The sequence below is a fragment of the Homo sapiens genome, chromosome 16 (genome assembly GCF_000001405.40).
Source record: "Homo sapiens chromosome 16, GRCh38.p14 Primary Assembly".
Taxonomy (NCBI): domain Eukaryota; kingdom Metazoa; phylum Chordata; class Mammalia; order Primates; family Hominidae; genus Homo; species Homo sapiens.
In genome coordinates this window covers 19617342-19638496 of record NC_000016.10, presented here as the reverse complement: position 1 = coordinate 19638496, position 21155 = coordinate 19617342, and the positions used below count along the sequence as shown (strand labels likewise).

At 42.4% G+C, this 21155-nt stretch overlaps 1 protein-coding gene across 7 annotated transcripts in view; it reads right to left on the bottom strand.

Moving 5' to 3' along the window:
- VPS35L (VPS35 endosomal protein sorting factor like) overlaps positions 1 to 21155 on the bottom strand; it is a 145461-nt gene that overhangs the window by 62667 nt on the left and 61639 nt on the right. For all 7 annotated transcript variants that reach the window (NR_158161.2, NR_158160.2, NM_001365295.2 and 4 more), the window contains 6 exons: positions 12274 to 12320; positions 10692 to 10803; positions 9744 to 9860; positions 8677 to 8730; positions 5325 to 5405; positions 841 to 903 (listed from right to left, as the gene is read on the bottom strand). Coding sequence is in view for 5 of the 7 variants with exons in the window: in NM_001365295.2 (NP_001352224.1) it covers positions 841 to 903; positions 5325 to 5405; positions 8677 to 8730; positions 9744 to 9860; positions 10692 to 10803; positions 12274 to 12320 (474 nt within the window). In the remaining 2 variants the exon portion in view is untranslated. The remainder of the gene's footprint in view (positions 1 to 840; positions 904 to 5324; positions 5406 to 8676; positions 8731 to 9743; positions 9861 to 10691; positions 10804 to 12273; positions 12321 to 21155) is intronic.

The window sequence follows — 21155 nt, the reverse complement described above, 5'->3', positions numbered from 1 at the left end:
CGTAGGTATGTATGTATAGGATAAAACATAGTATACACAGCAGTCAGTTCTATCTGCGGTTTCAGGCAACTCCTGGGAGTCTTGGAATGTATATTCCTCCTGGATAAGAAGGCAATACTACAGTGATAACTCCTACTTCCCCGTGGTGGTATGAAACTAATGTGAGGCAATACATGTAAAGTCCCAGAACAGTGCTTGGAGTGTGGTATATGTCGAATAAATATTAGCTGCTATGATTAAAATAAAAAATCTTACAATCTTGTGAGCACATGTAAATGGAACCTGGAAGAGGGAAGTGAAGGGAGAGACAGAGAATGTTACTATACAGGGAATAACCTAGATTCCCTACTTGCCCAGGGCACTGAACAAACTCGAACAGACATCGCAGGATATTTTAAATTTTTGAGGGAATCATGGTAAATCTCAACTGTCAGACACTGAAACAACTACTAGTCAATGTATTTCATAGTTTCAACATTAGGCTGTGTGATTAAAAAGCAAGTGCCCTGTGAAAATCACTGTGGAAGAGCAAAGTAAGAGAAGGCTGTCCAAAGTGTTTTGAAGGTTTGAGAAGTTGTGTAATGCCCTTACTTATACATATCCCATAAGTAAGGAATGAAACAGAAATAATATTTTTCTTTCAGTTTTTGTGTATTATTTTTTCAAATACGGCTTAATCTATTAGGACATAAATACTTAAGTTGATCAGACTTAACTACTTTATAAAAGGAACTGCTGAATATTTCTTTTGGCCTGGGGCATCATGAAAACATTACTGAGACAATGAGAACCTCTGAGCCAGGTACAAATTTCCAAAGATAATTAAGAAATCCTACTTACCACTGAGAAAAGAACTGAGAAGTCATGGAAGTGGGCAATAACTTTCTTAATTATTAACTGAAGCTGTAAAACAAACAAACAAAAATATTATTTTTAAAAACTTAATTTTTAAAAATTTCTTTCTGGTTTACATTCTCTCAGGAAAACCTAAATTTTTTTTTAAAAAGGCAATCACCTTTCATAATTTGCAATTATTACTACAATAAGGTAAGCCTGGATTGTTCAACAAATGGTGAACTGGGCTTAGGGTAGGCTCTGTCTCAAGCTGAGTTTGCCCAATGACTCTGTACATCCTACTTCATAGTCCTGGGGAAGTAACTGAGTCTCAGTCTCAGCTTCCTCATCTGTGAATTGGAGATCAAAGCAGTAAGGACTCAATGGAATGGTTCGTGGAAGGTCCTGAGTGCAGTGCCCGCCTTTAGAAAGTTCTCCATTAATGTCAGCTATTGTTATTCCTTGAATAGTGGGCAAACTTTTTCTATAAACGTCCTACAGTCCACCACAACTACTCAACACTATTGCAGTGCAAAAGCAGCCATTGCCAACATTAAATGAATGTGCATTAAATGAATTTGTGCCAATAAAACTTTATTCACAAAAACAAGTGGCAGGCTACATATAGCCTATGGGCTGTAGTTGGCCAATCCCTATTCTACATCATCGTGTGGCCCTGTGTTTCTTGATTATTCACTGGAGAGGATTTGGACAGAGTGTGCTGGTAGAGTTAAAGGCCAAGGTATTACCCAAGGATGGTGGCACAGTCTGTGAGGTCTGCCTCAAAAATGCCCAGATACTGATGGTTACCGCCCCTCACTCTGCGATGCACAGTCCAGACTGAAAGGCTGACAGGGCCTTGGTCCAGGAGAGCCAAGAAGATGCGGTTTCTAAATAAAATAGAACTCTCCACCTCTGGTTGCTATCAAGAAAATGTACTGACAATTTGTTTACACTAAAAAAACTGCTGTTTCAATAATTTCCAAAGAAAATCTCTCATGTTCTAAAAACAGAACATGAAGAACGTTATGTGCCCATTTCATAATTAGGCAGCTTACTAGGTCAGTCAAGCAAAAAACTAATAAAGGACTTCAAAACTTCATCATAAACAATGCTCCAAGGCATACCATTGTAAGACACTGCAATGCTGTCTGGTTAAAATAGTTTCTGAAGCATAAAGCACCTAATCCCTTTAGAACAAGAAATTTTTTGTTAACACTTAAGCACAGCTACACATAAACTGTGATTTTAAAAGACAGGATTTTTTTCCCCTTAATATTTCATTATAAAAATGCTCAAAAATAAAGAATATTGAAAGAATTATACAAACACGCATTTATTCACCACCTAGATTTTACAAAAGCCAGCAATTTAATACATTTACTTTATCATCTCACTTATCCATCCATTTAATGATAGAATTTGTAAACAATTCTATCATTGTTTTATTATTATTTGTTTTATTATTATTTTTTGAGACAGGGTCTTTCTCTGTTGCACAGGCTGGCATGCAGTGTGGCATGATCTCAGCTCACTGCAGCCTTGACCTCCTGGGCTCAAGCAATCCTCCTGCCTTAGCCTCCAGGGTAGCTGGGACCACAGGTGCACGCCACCACACCCATCTAATTTTTATATTTTTTTAGTAGTGACGGGGTTTTGCCATGTTGCCCAGGCTGGTCTTGAACTCCTGGGCTCAAGCAATCCGCCCATCTTGGCTTCCCAAAGTGATGGGATTACAAGCGTGAGCCACTTCACCTGGCTTTAACTTTTTATTTTGAAATAATTTCAGACTTGCAGAAAAGCTGAGAGAATAGTACTGAGAACTCCCATATATTCTTTACCCAAATCCATCAATTTTTAATATTTTGCCAAATGTGCTTTGTGGTTGTCTCTATGCAAAACATACTATTTTTTCCCTGAACTATATGAGAGTAGATTGCATGAATCATGCCCTTACCCCTTAACACTTCATTTTTTATTTCCTAAGAATAATCATATTCTCTGACATTTCCACTTGCTGTCATCAAATTGGGAAAGTTAACACTGATATAATGAAATCTAAACTAATTTGATCTCATCTATCACCCATTTCCAAGCTGTTGATTGTCTCAATTAGTCTTTTCTGACATTATTTTTTCCATCTTCTGTGCAGGATCCAGTCTGAGATTGCGCACTGCATTCCATTTTCACGTCTCTTTAGTCTGTGTTAGTTCACAAGTTCTTCCGTCTGTCTTTGTCATTTAGGGCAATGATATATGTGGGGTTTTTGGGTTTTATTTCATTTTATTTATTTTATTTTTAGTTTAGTTCAATTAGAGACAGGATCTCACTCTGTCACTGAGGTTGGAGTGCAGTGGTGCTATCATAGCTCACTGCAGCCTCTAACTCCTGGGCTCAAACAATCCTTCCAGCTCTGCCTCCTGAATAGCTGGAACTACAGGCATGCACCACCACACCTGGCTAATTTCTTTCTTTTTTTAATTTTTTGCAGAGATAGGGTCTTGCTATGTTGCCCACACTGGACTCGAACTCCTGGCCTCAAATAATCCTCCTGCCTCAGCCTCCCAAAGTCTGGAATTATAGGTGTGAGCCATGGAGCCTGGCCATGGTGATATTTCTGAAGAATTATAAAATGCTTCTCAATCTGCGCATGTGTGACATTCCCTTGTGCATTCTCAACTGAAATGCTATACAGGTGATGCTGTGTCTTTCTTAGGGTACTACATCTGCAGGCACATGATGGCCTTTTGCTCCTCATTGGTGAGATGAACTCTCATTAACTGGACTGTCCACTGTCTCTGCTGTATAGTCACTATTTTCCTCATTGCAATTGATACCTGCTCAGTAGGAAGACCTCTTGAGATATGCAAATATCCTGCTCCTCATCAAACTCTCAAAATCTCTCTCCTCCTCAATGCATGCAAAACTCTTCTTCCCAGGGTTAGCATACACTGATAATTCTTACCTAAAGGAAGACAATTCTTGTCTTTACTGGGATGGCTACAAAATGGTGATTTTTCCAATTCTACCATTTCTTTCACATTTCTCAATCCGCTCATCTATTTATCTATTCAGCATAAGGATGGACTCTTGGATTCCTATTTTACTCAATGGGCTATAATCTGTTACTGTTCTAATTCCATTTGATCCTCAAATTGGGAGCAAGTGAGAGCCCCTTCAAAAGCTGCTCTTATACCCTTTTCACATGGGTATTTCACATTAGTGGGTTTTTTTTTTTTTTTTTTGAGACCGTGTCTCTCTCTCACCCGGGCTGGAGGGCTCACTGCAACTTCAGCCTCCAAGGGTAAGGTGATTCTCCTACTATAGCATCCCAGGTAGCTGGGACTATAGGCATGCACCACCACGCATGGCTAATTTTTATATTTTTTGTAGAGATGGCCCAGACTGGTCTTGAACTCCTGGACTCAAGTGATCTGCCCTCCTTGGCCTCCCAAAGTGCTGGGATTACAGGCATGAGCCACCACACCTTGCCTCACTGAACTCTTTAGAAGCAAAATGTGACATAATGTATGCAACTTATTATCAAATAATTCTGAGAAAAAAATGTACACACATACATGTATATATGTGTGGAATGCGTGAATGATAAAGCATATGTAGTAAAATGTTAACAGTTGGCCGGGTGCAGTGGCTCATGCCTGTAATCCCAGCACTTTGGGAGGCTGAGGCGGGTGGATCACGAAGTCAGGACATCGAGACCACCCTGGCTAACGCGGTGAAACCCCAACTCTACTAAAAATTCAAAAAATTAGCCAGGCGTGGTGGCACGCCCCTGTAGTCCCAGCTACTCGGAAGGCTGAGACAGAAGAATTGAAGGTGGAGGTTGCAATGAGCCAAGATCGCACCACTGCACTCCAGCCTGGGCAACAGAGCAAGACTCCGTCTCAAAACAAAACAAAAACAAAAACAAAAAAAAACAAATGTTAACAGCTAGTAAATCTGGTTAAAGAATAATAGGAATTCTTTGAGCTTTCTTTTAACTTTCCAATAAGCTTAAATTTATTTCCACATAAAAAAATTATGCTTAAGCCCAGGAAGTCGAGGCTGTGCCAAGCGGTGATCGCACCACTGCACTCCAGCCTCCGTGACTGAGCGAGACCCTGTTTCAAAAAAAAAGGAAAAAACAAAGTTGATTTAACTAAAAATACTCGCAGTTTACTTACTGGTGACAACAATGAAGACAACGCTTATTGAGCATTTACCACGTGCCAGGCCACTGTGTGAGGGCTTCACTTCATCCTCACAGTAACTCTCAGGTAGCACTATTACTATCTCCATTTCACAGGTGAGAAAACTGGGGCACAACAAGGTTAAGTAACTGATCAAAGGGCACATGGCTAGGATATGGCAGAGCTATGATTCAAACACAGGATTATGTGCCTTTATAGCCTGACCCATACAACACGCCTATTTAATTCAACAGAACAAAATTCCTAACAATGTTGAAATGAGAAATGCAAATCTGTTACCTGGGGGTAGGAATCTTCAAATGCACGATCTGGAGTCATGTGCTTGATGACATCTGCCAAAACGGTATTCACCTCTCGTTTCTAAGCAGGAAAAAGGAACCAAACCTGAATTAGACACTGTATGGCAACTGCTGACCATGTTCCTGGGGGAAAGGACTAACGTATTCAGAATATATCACACACCTTCCAGGAAATCAATTTCAGTATTCTGCTGAAAATAACGGAAGGGAGGAAATCTCACTCATATCACCCGGTCTAGTACCACAGCCCCACACCTAGTCAGGACTAAACGCTCTTCTCAAAAGTTCTGGGGCTTTACATTGTCTCTGCTTTCCCAGAGTGATGGTTGAATCGGCCGTGCCTCTCTCCACCTGCCTGTCCCAGGCCCTCCCTCAGGTGCCTGCAGAGAGAACAGTGAAGCACTGCGGAAGACTGCAGGCTCACCCTTACAAGCTGTCTGACCTAACTGCTCACTGTTCACTTTTGTCACCTATAGCAGGAGTCAGCCAACTGCAGCCCAATCCAGCCCAGGGCCTGTTTTTATAAGGCCCACAAGCTAAGAATGGCTTTTAAGTCTCTATAATTAACTGCTGATTTATAGAAAATACAAAAGGCAGAAGAGCACGCCAGACACCATCACAAGGATGCAATGGGAAAAATCCAGTCTTTGCAACTCTATAGAGCAAAAGACCCAATTTCTTCAACAAATAAATTACAGGGAAAGAAAGGGGAAGGAGAGAAGGAGACAGTTTGAGAGAGAACTTATACATCAAAAGTATCCTAAAATGTCTATTGCAATGGAGAAGCCTTATTTTCAACCAGATTTCAACAAATAAACTTAAAAAAAATGAGACAATTGGGGAAATCAGAATATTGACTGGTACTGATGATATTAAATAATTAGTAACTCGGCTGGGTGCAGTGGCTCATGCCTGTAATCCCAGCACTTCGGGAGGCTGAGGCAGGTGGATTGCTTGAGGTCAGGAGTTCGAGACCAGCCTGGCCAACATGGTGAAACCCCGTCTCTACTAAAAATACATAAAATTAGCGGGGTGTGGTCACACACACCTGTAGTCCTAGTTACTTAGGAGGCTGAGGCAGGAGAATCACTTGAACCCAGGAGGCGGAGGTTGCAGTGAGCTGAGATCATGCCACTGCACTCCAGCCTGGGTGACGGAGTGAGACTCCATCTCAAAAACAGAAGAAAAAAAAAATTAGTAACTTTTTTCCTTAGAATAATGTATTTAGATTTGGTTTAAGGAAGTGAACCCTGCAACCTGGGCAACATGGCAAGACCCCATCTCTACATCTCCACATGTGCCTGTGGTCCCAGCCACTCGGGAGGCTGAGGCAGGAGCATTGCCTGAGCTCAGGAGGTCATGGCTGGAGTGAGTGACGATTGCACCACTGGACTCCAGTCTGGGCAACAGAGTGAGATCCTGTCTGTCAATCAATCAATCAATGGAATCTTTATATTTTTACAGGTGTGCTGAAATACTGACAGATGAAACGATACAATGTCTGAGATATGCTTCAAAATATTCCAGGGGTCAGGGGACATGGTAATGATATAAATCAAACAAGATCTGTCATAAATTGATAATTCCTGATTGATGGGTACAAGGGAGTGCATATGTTTTACATTTCCATAATAAAATGTAAAATAAAAATAGGACCAAAAAAAACCACAAAAATCAATGGACCAACATTTACCTAATGCTCAAAACGAGGCAACATCAATTTTGGTGTTAGAGGCCAGGATGGTGTCTACCTTCACCTCCTCAAAGGCTGTTGTGACAGGGAGAGGCAGTTCTGGGGGTTCTGCGGGGTCACTTATTTCCTATTTCTTACTCTGGATGGTGATTATATGGTCATACCTTGTGAAAATTCATTGAGCAGCAAACTTATGATACGTGCACTTTTTTGCATGTGTGCTTGGCTTAGTCTGTTTGGGCTTCTCTACCAAAATACCATAAACCAGGAAGCTTGTAAACAACAAAAATGTAATTCTCACAGTTCTGGAGGCTGGGAAGTCCAAGATCAAGGCAGATTTGGTGTCTGGTGAGGACCCATTCCTCACAAACGGCATCTTCTCCCCAAGTCCTCATGGGATGGAAGGGGACAGTGAGCAACTCAGGACTTATTTTATTATTATTTTTGTTTTGAGACAGAGTCTCACTCTGTCGCTCTGGCTGGAGTGTAGGAGTGCAATCTTGGCTCACTGCAGCTTCTGCCTCCCACATTGAAGCGATTCTCCTCCCTCAACCTCCTGGGTAGCTAGGACTACAGGCAGGTGTCACCATACCCACCTAATTTTTTTTTTTATTTTTAGTAGAGACGGGGTTTTACCACGTTGGCCAGGCTGGTGGGCTTCTTTTATTATAAGGGCATTAATCTCCTTCATAAGGACTCTGCCTGCCATGACCTAGGCTCCACCTCCTAATACCATCATCCTGGGGGCTAGGATTTCAACATATGAATTTTGGGAGGGCACAGACATTCAGACCATAGCAATGCCACACTTAAATTTTTAGGGCTTGGCCAGGTGCGGTGGCTCACGCCTGTAATCCCAGCACTTTGGGAGGCAGAGGCGGGCTGATTGCGAGCTCAGGAGATCGAGACCATCCTGGCTAACATGGTGAAACCCTGTCTCTACTAAAAACACAAAAAAATTAGCCAGGCGTGGTGGCAGGCGCCTGTAGTCCCAGCTACTCGGGAGGATGAGGCAGGAGAATGGCGTGAACCCGGGAGGCGGAGCTTGCAGTGAGCCGAGACCACGCCACCACACTCCAGCCTGGGCGACAGAGCGAGACTCCATCTCAAAAAAAAAAAAAAAAAAAAAAAAACTTTTAGGACTTGATTAAAATAAACAAATTACTCTGGCAAGGGTTTTGAACCCACTTCTATCTTCTTCTAAAGTCTCTGCTCTTTGAGAAGCCCAGTATTCCCCTAACTGTGGTTCTAGTCTGTGCCTAGGGAAAGAAATATTTGCTTAGGAAAAAAATTACATGCCAGTCAAATTGTTTGGGAAATGCTGCTTACTAGACTCTGATGTACAGTCGCAATGCACTTTAGCATGTAAGCATCTAAGGTATCCTATGGTAAAAAAAAAATGGTTTAACTTTGTGTAATGCTGCATTTTCCAAACTTAAATGTAAACATGGAACAGTTATTTTTTGTTATAGTACACATATTAATGCTCCATCACGCTTTATTATGAAGAATGCAATTTTTATAAATTACAAGAGCAAGTACCGTTGTCAAATGCCTCAATACCTAAACTAGGCTAATTCACTATTATAAACATGAAAAAATCTAATTCTTTCAAAAACAATACCACAGTCACACATACCGTGAAATGCTTGCAGGTGTATTCCACCCACACTTCGGCACAATTAATGTAGTCCTACAAAGAGAAAGGAAAACATCTTAACATTAAGTACAACATAGTATGCATTACAGCAAACAGGAGGCTTCAGCTGGCTCTGTTCAATGGTTGGAAACGGGAATTTCCTTTTGCTAATTACTGGCTTAAAGGCTGATCTTTTATTTAGGAATATCCTACTAACGATATTTTCAAGCCTAAATCTTACGAACTGTTATATTTTGGATGCCCACTATAAAGTTAACTGATTTTTCATAAAGTTTCAAATATCTGTAATGTTATGCATTTTTTTTAAGTTGTATTTTTTATGGCAGTTCTGAACGCATGATCATGTAATTTTATACTTTTAGCACATCTTAAGGCTGTGAGAATTGAATTTTTAAAAAATCAAAGAAATTACATCTTTAAAGCTATCCATTCTCCATTACAGGTAAACAAATAATACAATTATAATAAATAGATTTCTTTAGGGAAAAATGTATAACTAATGAAAAGATAATTTTTATTTTTTAGTTCAAATAGAGACAGGGGTCTTGCTATGTTGTCCAGGCTGGTCTGAAACTCCCAGCCTCAAGTGATCCTCCTGCCTCAGCCTCCCAAAGTGCTGAGATTATAGGTGTGAGCTACCATGTTCAGCTTGGAAGGGTAATTTTTTAAAAGAGCAGATGCCAAAACTTGGACAAAAAGTGGTTGATTTAAAGTTTAAATGGCAGGCCGGGCAAAGTGGCTCACGCCTGTAATCCCAGCATTTTGAGAGGCCAAGATGGGTAGATATTTGAGACAGCCTGACCAACATGGTGAAAACCTGTCTCTACTAAAAATACAAAAATTAGCTGGGTGTGGTGGCACACACCTGTAATCCCAGCTACTCGGGAGGCTGAGGCAGAAGAATCGCTTGAACCCAGGAGGCAGAGGTTGCAGTGAGCCGAGATGGCGCCATTGCACTCTAGCCTGGGCGACAGAGCAAGACTTCATCTCAAAATAAATAAATAAATAAATAAATAAATAAAAATAAAAATAAAATGGCCACTCACCTGTGGGTTCTTCAGCTTAGTGATGACTTTCCAAGCTTCGTTGAGAATCTGAAGTCGGTCACTCTCAGGAGGATCAGCCAAGGCCAAGTTTAATCCCAGTGATCGAAAAAGAAGATGCTAAGAAACATGTCAAACCATCATGTTATGGAAATTTTAAATCAAATTAACTTGAAGCTCAAAGAAAAGAAAAGAGAAAAGGTTGTAATGTTTAATCCTTCTTGGGGCTAATCTTCCAACAACCTCCTTCTAAAGTTCTATCACACATATCTGCCCCAGCTACACTGAGAGGCTCACACAGAGTTAGCTCCATCTGTTGGTCTAATGTGGGGCCATAATATTCTACTGGACAAAGTTTTTCATAAATAATGAATGAAGATATATCCTTTTGTTTGTTTTGAGACAGGGTCTCACTCTGTCACCAGGCTTCATGACATAATCATGGCTCACTGCAGCCTTGACCTCCTGGGCTCCAAGCAATTCTCCCACCTTAGCCTCCCAAGTAGCTGGGACTACAGGAATGCACCACCACACCCAGCTAAGTTTTGATTTTTTGTAGAGATGGGGTCTTGCTGTGTTGCCCAGGCTGGTCTCGAACTCCTGGCCTCAAGTGATCCTCCTGCCCTGGCCTCCCAAGTGATAGGATTATAAACATGAGCCACCGTGCCCAGCCTGATATATTCTTAAATATGTTAGACCAAAGTCTTTCTTAAATCCTTCATAGTGAGCCAATCTGATAGATTTAGGGCTCATGGGGGCCTGAAGCATAGCAATCACACAGTGTCTGACAATCCCAACCTCTAACTCATCTTCCATTGCGTTCCTCAGAAACAGAGCCTTCGCCTGTGTTCCTGCTGGCCCATGCTGTTCCCAAAACCGGACTGTCTCTCAAGAGCTATCAGATACACACCGCTTATTTGTGTCCTACTGAGCATGAAGTCAAGAGCCTACCTTGGGGAAACCAGATTCATCACACTCTTTAATCATGCCAATGAAATCCATAGACCTTGTGGCGATGAACTCAGCCCGGAAGGCAGACATCACAGAATTCAACAGCAAGGCACTGCAAGACACAGATCCCCAAGTCAGCCTGGCTTCTCCTCAATCAAAGTTGCTTTAATTTTTGAATATATATTGCCAGGAAGGAAGACTAACAGCTCTTTAGCGGTAGGGTTGGGGAAAAACAAAAAATCAGAGTAAAAAGGTAAACTGGAGAGACTAACACAGTGTCCTGTACATATCTGCAACTCAATAAATGTTGAATTAACTGGATGTTTAGATGGATGGATGGCTAGATGGCAGGGTGGATAGACAGATCAGCAAGTGATCCAGTTCATTTAAGGAGAAGAAGAGCGAGCATTCAATAAGCTGGTGCACTAATGAGACAGAACATTAAGTAACGATATTGATCCATGTTGTAAATATATATCCACATCGTTTATGCAAGAGTTTTGGTTTTTTTGTTTTTTTTTTTTTGAGATGGAGTCTCACTTTGTTGCCCAGGCTGGAGTAGTGTCACGATCTTGGCTCACTGCAACCTCCACCTCCCGGGTTCAAGTGATTCTCCTGCCTCAGCCTCCCAAGTAACTGAGATTACAGGCATGCGCCACCATGCTCGGCTAATTTTATGTATTTTTAGTAGAGACAGGGTTTCACCATGTTGGCCAGGCTGGTCTCAAACTCCTGACCTCAGGTGATCCACCCGTCTCAGCCTCCCAAAGTGCTGGGATTATAGGCATGCACCACTGTGTCTGGCCAGTTTATGCAAGAGATTTCTTAGTAAAGAGATCTTATGTTATAGGCACCAGGCACAGGGGACACAGTGGTAAACAAAGCCCATGCAAGGCTGTTTCCATGTATCTACCACTAAAAGGAAAGCAGAGAGACAACCTCATATTCGTGAGAGTCAGGGAGATCAATTTCATCCTAGCCCAACCACCTACCACAGCCCCATGGGGAAATAACTATTATTATTACTTTTTTTCTTTTGTTTTTTGAGACAGCGTCTCACTCTGTCGCCAAGCTAGAGTACAGTGTCATGATCTCGGCTCACTGAAACCTCTGCCTCCCGGGTTCAAGCAATTCTCCTGCCCCAGTCTCCTGAGTAGCTGCGACTACAGGCATACACCACCAAGCCCGGCTAGTTATTGTATTTTTAGTAGAGATGGGGTTTTGCCACGTTGGCCAGGCTGGTCTCGAACTCCTGACCTCAGGTGATCCACACGCCTCAGCCTCCCAAAATGCTGGGATTACAGGCATCAGCCACCACGCCCAGTTGAAAGAACTATTATTACTCCCGTTTTACAGATGAAGAGACAGAGGCACAGAGAGGTCAAGCAAGCGGCCCAAGGTCACAGGGCTAAGACAGAACAGAGCCAAGGTCTGAGGCCAGGCAACCGGACTCCAGCATTCTAAACCTCCATGCAGTCCTGCCTCTCTCTCTTCAGCTCATACCCAGGTAAGCAGGCCAAGCTCAAAAATAGCAGCCAACGCCATTTTCAAACTCATGCTTTATGAATCTTAAAATACTTACTTGTTTCCTAGTTTCTTACACCTTTCCATCATCTCGGTCAGCAGAGCCTATTATGTTAAAAATAATAATAATTAAAAAATCAGGTTGGAGGAGCTAAAGTAACATTTCTAAGAGATTTCCAAAGTCGAACTCTAAAATGAATGTAGCCACATGTCCATTAAGATAATTCTCAGTGTCTGGTAGGGATGGGGAGGCTTGGGGAGAAAAAAATTCACTTTCATGGCATTTAGTGTAATAAATAGAAGGAGGGGGCCGGGTACAGTGGCTCGCACCTATAATTCTAGCATTTTGGTAGACCGAGGCAGGTGGATCACTTGAGGTCAAGAGCTCGAGACTAGTCTGGCCAACATGGTAAAACCCCGTCTCCACTAAAAATACAAAAATTAGCCAGGTGTGATAGCGGGTGCCTGTAATCCCAGCTACTCAGAGGGCTAAGGAAGGAGAATCGCTTGAACCCAGGAGGTGGAGGCTGCTATGAGCTGAGATCATGCCACTGCACTCCAGCCTGGGAGACAGAGGGAGACCCTGTCTCAATCAATCAACTGATCAATCAACAGAAGCTAGGGTCCTGGCATCAGGCACACTTGGATTCAAATCCAACCTCACCAACTACCAATGATGAGACTTCGGAAGAGTTGCCAACTCTGTCGAACCTGGGTCTCCTTGTCCTTATTGAAAGGCTACAAGTGGTATCATCTCATCTGTGGGGTCACTACAGGATGATGGGAGATAACTCCTGCACTCCAGGGCATGAATGAGAACGATAATTACTCTGCTCCCCACCTCTTCTGTAACCCCACATTCTTCCCCATTTTAAGAGGTGCCCAAGGTGCACTTAGTAATATCAGCAACAAACACTGGGCTAGAGCTTAGTGCCCACCAGCCATGGTGAGAAGCACTTTGCACTCACGATCTTACCTCTCCCAACCACCCTTGAAGCAGGGGCTCTATTCTCCCATTTCACAGATGAAAAACAAAGCCACGAATAGCAGTGTTTTTCACCCAAGGTCGCACAGTTAGTGATGGCAGGCAGACATGAACCTGGGCAGACTGGGATCAAAGGCCACGTTCTTCAATACATTTCTTCTCCAACACAGTTTGAAGTCTATTTTCCCCGCCTCCGCCAAAGGAAGCAGATTTTTTTTTTTTAACTCATTGGAATACTGTTAATGGCTTTGGAGCTATCTTAAGACAATTACATATCTTTAAAAGAGCTCCTGTTTTTAAGAAAATCAATGGAAGAAGGATCATTTAGGGCAGTGGTTTGGGGAAGGTCAAGCCCAAGACCAGAGGTAATTACAGGACACTGAGCACTGCCCAGGTTTCGGGCTAAGTCCTTGACTTCCCTTTACTCTCTTACTCTTCACCATGTCCTTGTGAGGTCCATGGAACATTATCCCCATTTTACAGATGCAAAAGCCAAAGCTCAGACAGGGTTAAGACACTTCCTAATAAGTGGCAAAAATGGGATTTGTGCAGGCCAGGGGTGGTGGCTCATGCCTGTAATCCCAGCACTTTGGGAGGCTGAGGTGGGAAGCTCGCTTGAGCCCAGGAATTCAAGACCAGTCTGGGCAATATAGTGAGATCCCATCTCTACATAAGTATTTTTGTTTGTTTGTTTGTTTGTTTTTTGAGACAGAGAGACGAGTCTTACTCTGTTGCCCAGGCTGGAGTGCAGTGACGCGATCTCGGCTCACCAGAACCTCCGCCTCTTGGGTTCAAGAGATTCTCCTGCCTCAGCCTCCCGAGTAGCTGGGACTATAGGTGTGTGCCATCATGCCTGGCTAATTTTTTTGTATTTTTAGTAGAGATGGGGTTTCACCCTGTTAGCCAGGCTGGCCTTGAACTCCTGACCTCAGGCAATCTGCCCGCCTCAGCCCTGCAAAGTGCTGGGATTACAGGAGTGAGCCACCGCGCCCAGTCATAAAATTTTTTAAAAAATTAGCTGGGTGTGGTGGTACGTGCCTGTGGTCCCAGCTACTCAGGAGGCTGAGGTGGGAGGATCACTTGAGCCCAGGAGGTGGAGGCTGCAGTGAGCTGTGATTGTGCCACTGAACTCCAGCCTGGGCACCAGAGTGAGACCTATCTCAAAAAAAAAAAAAAAAAAAAAAAAAAAGACCTGGTAGGCACGATGGCTCATGCCTGTAATCCCAGCACTTTGAGAGGCTGATGGGGACAGATGGCTTGACCTTAGGAGTTCAAGACCAGTCTGGGCAACATGGCGAAACCTCATCTCTAAAAGAAATTTAAAAATTAGCCAAGCATGGTGGTGTGTGCTTATAGTCCCAGCTAGTCAGAAGGCTAAGGTGGGGGCATCACTTGAGCCTGGGAGGTCGAGACTGCAGTAAGCCAAGACTGCACCACAGCACTTCAGCCTGGGCAACAGAGCAAGACCCTGTCTTAAAACAATAATAATAATAATAATAATAATAATAATAATAATAATAATAATAATAAATAAATAAGTAAAAAGTAAAAAATAAAGAAAAAAAAGGGATCTATATCTACGTCTGGACCCAAAGTAAAAAAATAAAAGGAGGGTTCTTAAGTGCAATTCCACCCTTTCTGGTGGCACCCCTCTCTGTCATGTTGCCTGAATAAGTGAGAGCTGACGTTGGAGATACTGTTGGAATCCCTACCCCAAAACCCTGATTTTATTCAGATTTCCATCTATGCCTCACATAAACTAGGTTGGCTTCTGTCACGGACTGAATTATATCTCCCCTAAATTGCTATGTTGGAGCCCTAACCCCTAATATCACTATTCTAGGTTAAATGGAGTCATAAGGGTGGGATCCGAATCCCACAGGACTAACCTCCTTATAGGAAGAGACAGCAAGGATGCGTGTACACAGAGGAAAAGCCATGTGAGAACACGGCAAGAAGGTGGCAGTTTCCAAGCCAAGGAGAGAGGCCTCACCAGAAACCAACCTTGCTGGCCCCTTGATCTTGGTCTCCTAGCCTTCAGAACTATGAGAAAATAAAGTCTGTTGTTTAAGCTCCTAGTCTGGGTATTTTGTTAAGGGAGCCCAAGCAGATTAATACAGACCCAAACCAATCACAGTGGCTCTCGTTCCCCTTGCCCATGATCCATTTCTAGCTGCTGAGACAGGATGGGAAGTCTTCGGGGGGATTTGGAGAAAGGTTTCCTGTTCTTAAACAAGGACCCAAGAATCAAAGATTCCCTGGATGCTGTCGGCTCTGGACGTGATGCCTGGAATGGTTGCCCCCACCTTGCTACTAATCAGGGACAGCAGAGCAAAAAGATGCACTGAAGCTGATCACCCGAGAGCCTCCACTTGTTGTGGAGGAGGACACATGGAATTATATGTGGAGGCCAGACTAGTTAGATGTTTGTTCCTTGCAGCCAAAAGCACCCTAGCTGGTGACAAAATTGACCACATCATAAATGGCTTCCCTAACCCACTCTTGGGTATTTACATTTGAAAAGTCATTCTTAAAGACCAATAGCAAAGTGGCCTTTGGAAAAGGCTAAGAGAGGAAAAGAGATTCTGTGTAATCATCACACTGACACTCCCTGACACACAGAAATAATCATTCAACGCCTACCTAACGAGCAACTTTAGTATACAGTTGACCCTTGAATAACAACATGGTTTTGAGCTGCGTGGATCCACTTAGACACGGATTTTTTTCAACCATATGCTGAACGAAAATACAGTATTTGTGAGACACCAAACTCAAGTATACACGGGTTCCACAGGGCCAACTGTGAGACTGTGAGACTTGAGTCTCACAGCATGGATTTTGATATACGTGGGGGCCGGGCACAGTGGCTCACGCCTGTAATCCCAGCACTTTGGAGGCTCAGGTGGGTGGATCACCTGAGGTAAGGATTTCGAGACCAGCCTGGCCAAGATGATGAGACCCTGTCTCTACTAAAAATACAAAAATTAGCCGGGCGTGGTGGCGTGGCTGTAGTCCCAGTTACTTGGGAGGCTGAGGCAGGAGAACTGCTTGAACCCGGGAGGCAGAAGTTGCCATGAGTGGAGATCGGGCCATTGCACTCCAGCCTGGGTGACAGAGCAGGACTCCGTCTTAAAAAAAAAAAAAAAAAAAAAAGATATACATGGAGATCCTGGAATCAATCCCCTAAGTATACCAAGGGATGACTATACCAGCCACTGTTCCAGACACTGAGGGTAAGATGGGAGGAAAACACAGAAACCCATGCCTTCGTGAGGTTTACTGTATCTCATATGCATGCACGTGCACACACACATGCACACATACACACACACATAAATGAGACCTCCTGGCCCACCAATTCTGGAAAGATTAACTAGGGCAAATCCCAACATATGGACAAAAGATTCTTACCACTAAGACAAGTTAAATGCTTAAAAAGTTCCCTCTCTCACAAAAGATGAATGCACTAAAAATGCATCCAAGAATATAACTTTAAAAAACCAAAGGCTCTGTTGTCATAAAGGAACTTGGGAATACATGTAAGTGTTCGGAGAGCCAAATGTTATAGATCCTCGGGCAGGTCTGCTGGAGGTTACTGATTTTTTCCCCTCTAAGAAGTGACAGAATTGATTATCTTTGGCAAGAACACGATGAACAACAGCTCAAAGCAGACAGAGATTGAAACAAGCCCTTTGGCTGGGATCAACCACTGAAAAAGCAGCTCAGCATATTTCTTTCATTTTCACACACAGCAGAACTTGAAGATTCAGAAGATTCACAAGGCAGGCATTTGCTTGGTGTGCTGGTTTGTTTTTTAGGCTTTTGTTATTGTTGCTGTTGGCCCTACATGCCACTTATTTATGTAACATTTGTTTTTCTAAAAATTGTAAAAATAAGAAATGCTTTATAGACAAAAGTCCCAACAACATCGACATGCATCAAGAAAGATGCGAATGTCCCCCCCTCCCAACTTCCATGTCCTAGAAATCACCACTGTCAACACTTTGGTGTTTGTCTAGGACTTTGATGTTCTTATCTAGAATTCTGCCTGTGCTTTATGGATATATATTATTACAGAAGCCTAGTTTTGTTTTTACACAATGGGATACTCTTATAAATACTGGGTTGGAGATATTTAAATATGGCCTTTTTTAATGGAGAATCTAGATGGCCCTCTCTTCTCCATGTTATTACACAAATCTACCTCACTCTTTTAATCCATGGCTATTTAATCCATGCCATGGATATAACAGCATTTTTCAAACTGCCCCTAACTGACAGATGTCTGTTTTTGTTTTCTGTTTAATTTTTAATTATTTATTTTTTTTAATTTATTCTTTTTTGAGACAGAGTCTTGCTCTGTCGCCCAGGCTGGAGTGCACTGGTGTGATCTTGGCTCACTGCAACCTCCACCTCCTGGGTTCAAGTAATCCCCCTGCCTCAGCCTCCCGAGTAGCTGGGATTACAGGCGCATGCCACCACACTCGGCTAATTTTTGTATTTTTAGTAGAGATGGGGTTTCGCCATGTTGGCCAGGCTGGTCTCAAACTCCTGACCTCAAGAGATCCGCCCGCCTTGGCCTCCCAAAGTGCTGGGATTACAGGCATGTGCCACCACGCCTGGCCTAATTTTTATTTTTTGAGGGTACATAGTAAGTGTATATATTTATGGGGTACATGAGATGTTTTGGTATAGGCATGCAATACATAATAATCACATCATGGAGAATGGAGTATTCATCCCAATTGAAGGATTTTTAAAAGACTTTTCATTCTGAATTAATTATAGACTCGTCAGTAATTGAAAAAAACAGTAGAGAGAAGTCCTGGGTACCCACCACCCAGCTTCTCCCATTTACATAACTATAATGCATTATTAAAGCTAGGAAACTGACACTAGTATAACACAACTAACTAGACAATTTCACCAAGTTTTACATGCATACTTTTTGGGGGAAAAAGAGCATGTCTTTGTGTCTAATTCAATGACCATTTTACCAATATATATGGAGTTGGAGAACCACAACCATATTTAACTGTTGGATTTTTTAAGGTGATCTCCAGATTAGGTTATTTATAATTATTTACCCACTTCAAAAGTACAGGAGGAGAGAAAAGAAGTCAGGCCAAGGCTGCATTTCTATTTTAAACATTCTATGGCGCTTTATTATGGCAGCCCGAACGGACTAAGACATGCCTTGATTTTTTACCTTGGATTTCAATTTCGATTTGAAATTCTGTAGATGAGATATTCACAACTAAAGGTATTTCTCCTTTCCCTCTCTCACTTGCCTGCCCTGTATATTACCAATTGCTGCAGCCGAACTTTACCATCCCCTATTTTGAAGTCTTGGCCTCTAATGGATACACACAGTTCTACTCTGCAGGTGACTCATAGCGGCCATTATCAAAGAGCTTTTAGGCACCAAATTGTCACATGCACCTTTAACACCACCTTCCATACCGACATCAATTCTTCTGCAGTTTGAAAATGACTATTTTTTTTAACAAGACACTGCATGTCCTTTAAGTGTGCCCAAGAATCAGAGTTTATTATTATTCAGCTGACCTAATTTTTTAATCACTTATTCTAGTGCAATAATGATTTCCTAGAGCTTATTCCCAGCTTCTGCCATCCTTTGAGATGACTGGGGCTTAAAATAAAAAGAAGACTGCCTTGTGACATTTTGTTTTTAATCTGATTTTGCCTTTCGCTAAAATAAGAAAAAAAAAGCGTTCTCATTTCACCACGTCAATCCTGCTTGTATGTTTCCGTCGTTCAGTGGAATACCAAGAAAACAGTCGAGTTCATGGTACCCTTCCCAGAAGCGGAGGACAGCATGTGGTTGCTGAAACTATGCTGAGGACCATAGAGAACCAGCAGCAAAACTTCAAACAATCTTTCCTTTATACTGGCTTGATTTAAAATCAATTTACTTAATGGTAAGACTATTCACCTGAAGTACAAGATGTCCCAGTTTTTCTCCTCATAATTTAGAATCTCAAAAAGTAAAAAGGTAAGCAGTGCATACTTGTTGAAAAGTTAGAAAACAGAGATGGGCGGCTGGGCACGGTGGCTCTTGTCTGTGATCCCAGCACTCTGGGAAGCCGAGGCGGGAGGATCACTTGAGGCCAGGAGTTAGAGATCAGCACGAGATCAACAAGGTGAAACTGCATCTCTACTAAAAATACAAAAATTATCTGAGTGTGGTGATGCATGCCTGTAGTCCCAGCTACTCATGAGGTTGAGGCATGAGAATCGCTTGAACCTGGGAGGTGGAGGTTGTAGCGAGCCGAGATTGCACCAGTGCACTCCAGCCTGGGAGACAGAGTGAGACTCTGTCTCAAAGGAAGAAAGAAAAAAAAAAAAAAACAGATAGGCAAAGAAAAATAAGTTACGCTGGCCCCAAATCTCACACTCCAGTGATGTTCTGTCATTTCTCCTTCCCAACTCTCTCGCACAGATATAAAAATCATGTCTGCGAGTACTAAGATGTGGGGCGCTACACTAAGCACCGTAGATACAGTGACTTCTTTGATTCTTGCAACGGACTAGAAAATAGGAATCATTAATATTGCTCCCATTTTACAGATAAAGAGAGAAGACTCAGAGTGGTTAGGAACAAGTTACCTGCTCCCTACTCTATCACAACAGCTGTTAACGGAGCTGAGATGCAGACCCAGGCACCCCGACTCCAGAGCCCACACCTGAACACTAGGCCACACTGCCACTTACAGCACACACAGCAATGTGTGTAACTTTCTTTTTGCACTTAGCCATATACCATGAATACCCTTACGTCAGTATGTACAGATCATCGGGAGTCTCCATCATTTTAAATGGCCCCATTAACACCCCACTGAATGCACATACCATAACCAGTCCTCTCTGATGCTTGCCTCCAATTTTGCACTACCGTGAACAAACCGTGTGTGCATCTCTGTGTGTGTTTATAATGTTTATGCACTCGTCTAACTTACAGGATAAATTCGTAAAAGTGGGATTGCTCGGTTAAAGTCATGTCCTTTTTTTTTCTTTTCTGTACAGCTTTCAACATGTGTTGGCAAGATCTAGGAAAAGGCAGATGTCTTTCAACTTTGCTTTGCTCTATATGTCCTTGTTTTGTAGTCTCTCTTTACTTTTCAATGATCAAATAAAGACAAGGAAAGCTTCATCTATCACAGTCTTTTTTTTTTTTTTTTTTTTTTTGAGACAGTCTGGCTCTGTTGCCCAGGCTGGAGTACAGTGGTGCAATCTCGGCTCACTGCGACCTCTGCCTCCCAGGTTCAAGCGATTCTCTGCCTCAGCCTCCTGAGTAGCTGGGACTACAGGCACAAACCACCACGCACAGTTAATTTTTGTATTTTTTGTAGAGACAGGGTCTTTACAAAAGACAGGCCTGGGCAACATAGTGAAACTCCATCTCTACAAAAAAATACAAAAAATTAGCCAGGCATGGTGATATACACCTATATATCCATGTTAGCCAGGCTGGTCTTGAACTGCTGGCCTGAAGTGAACTACCCACGTCAGCCTCCCAAAGTGCTGGGATTACAGGCATGAGCCACCGTGCCCGGCCTATCACAGTCTTCATGACAGTTTGAATTGGTGTTCTACTAAAACTGCTTCTCAGTCTTGGAAAAGAAAGAAAATATGTGTCTGCTATGATTCTGATGTCACTTCAATTCCTGACAATACTTCAACTGGCAAAAAAGAAAAAAGAAAAGAAAAATAAAATTATAAAAGAAATTAAGCATCTGAGTTTTGTTTTCCTTCCATAAAATACCTGCTCTACAGACTTTATTGGATTATTATAAACACAAAAGGGGTACATGAAGGTTAAGTGAAGACGCAATAAGGCTTGTTGGCCCTGGAGCCCAATTCTATGGGTTTGTATCAAGTCACCAACCATCTTCCTTTTTGTTTCTTTTTTAATGAGACAGTGTCTTGCT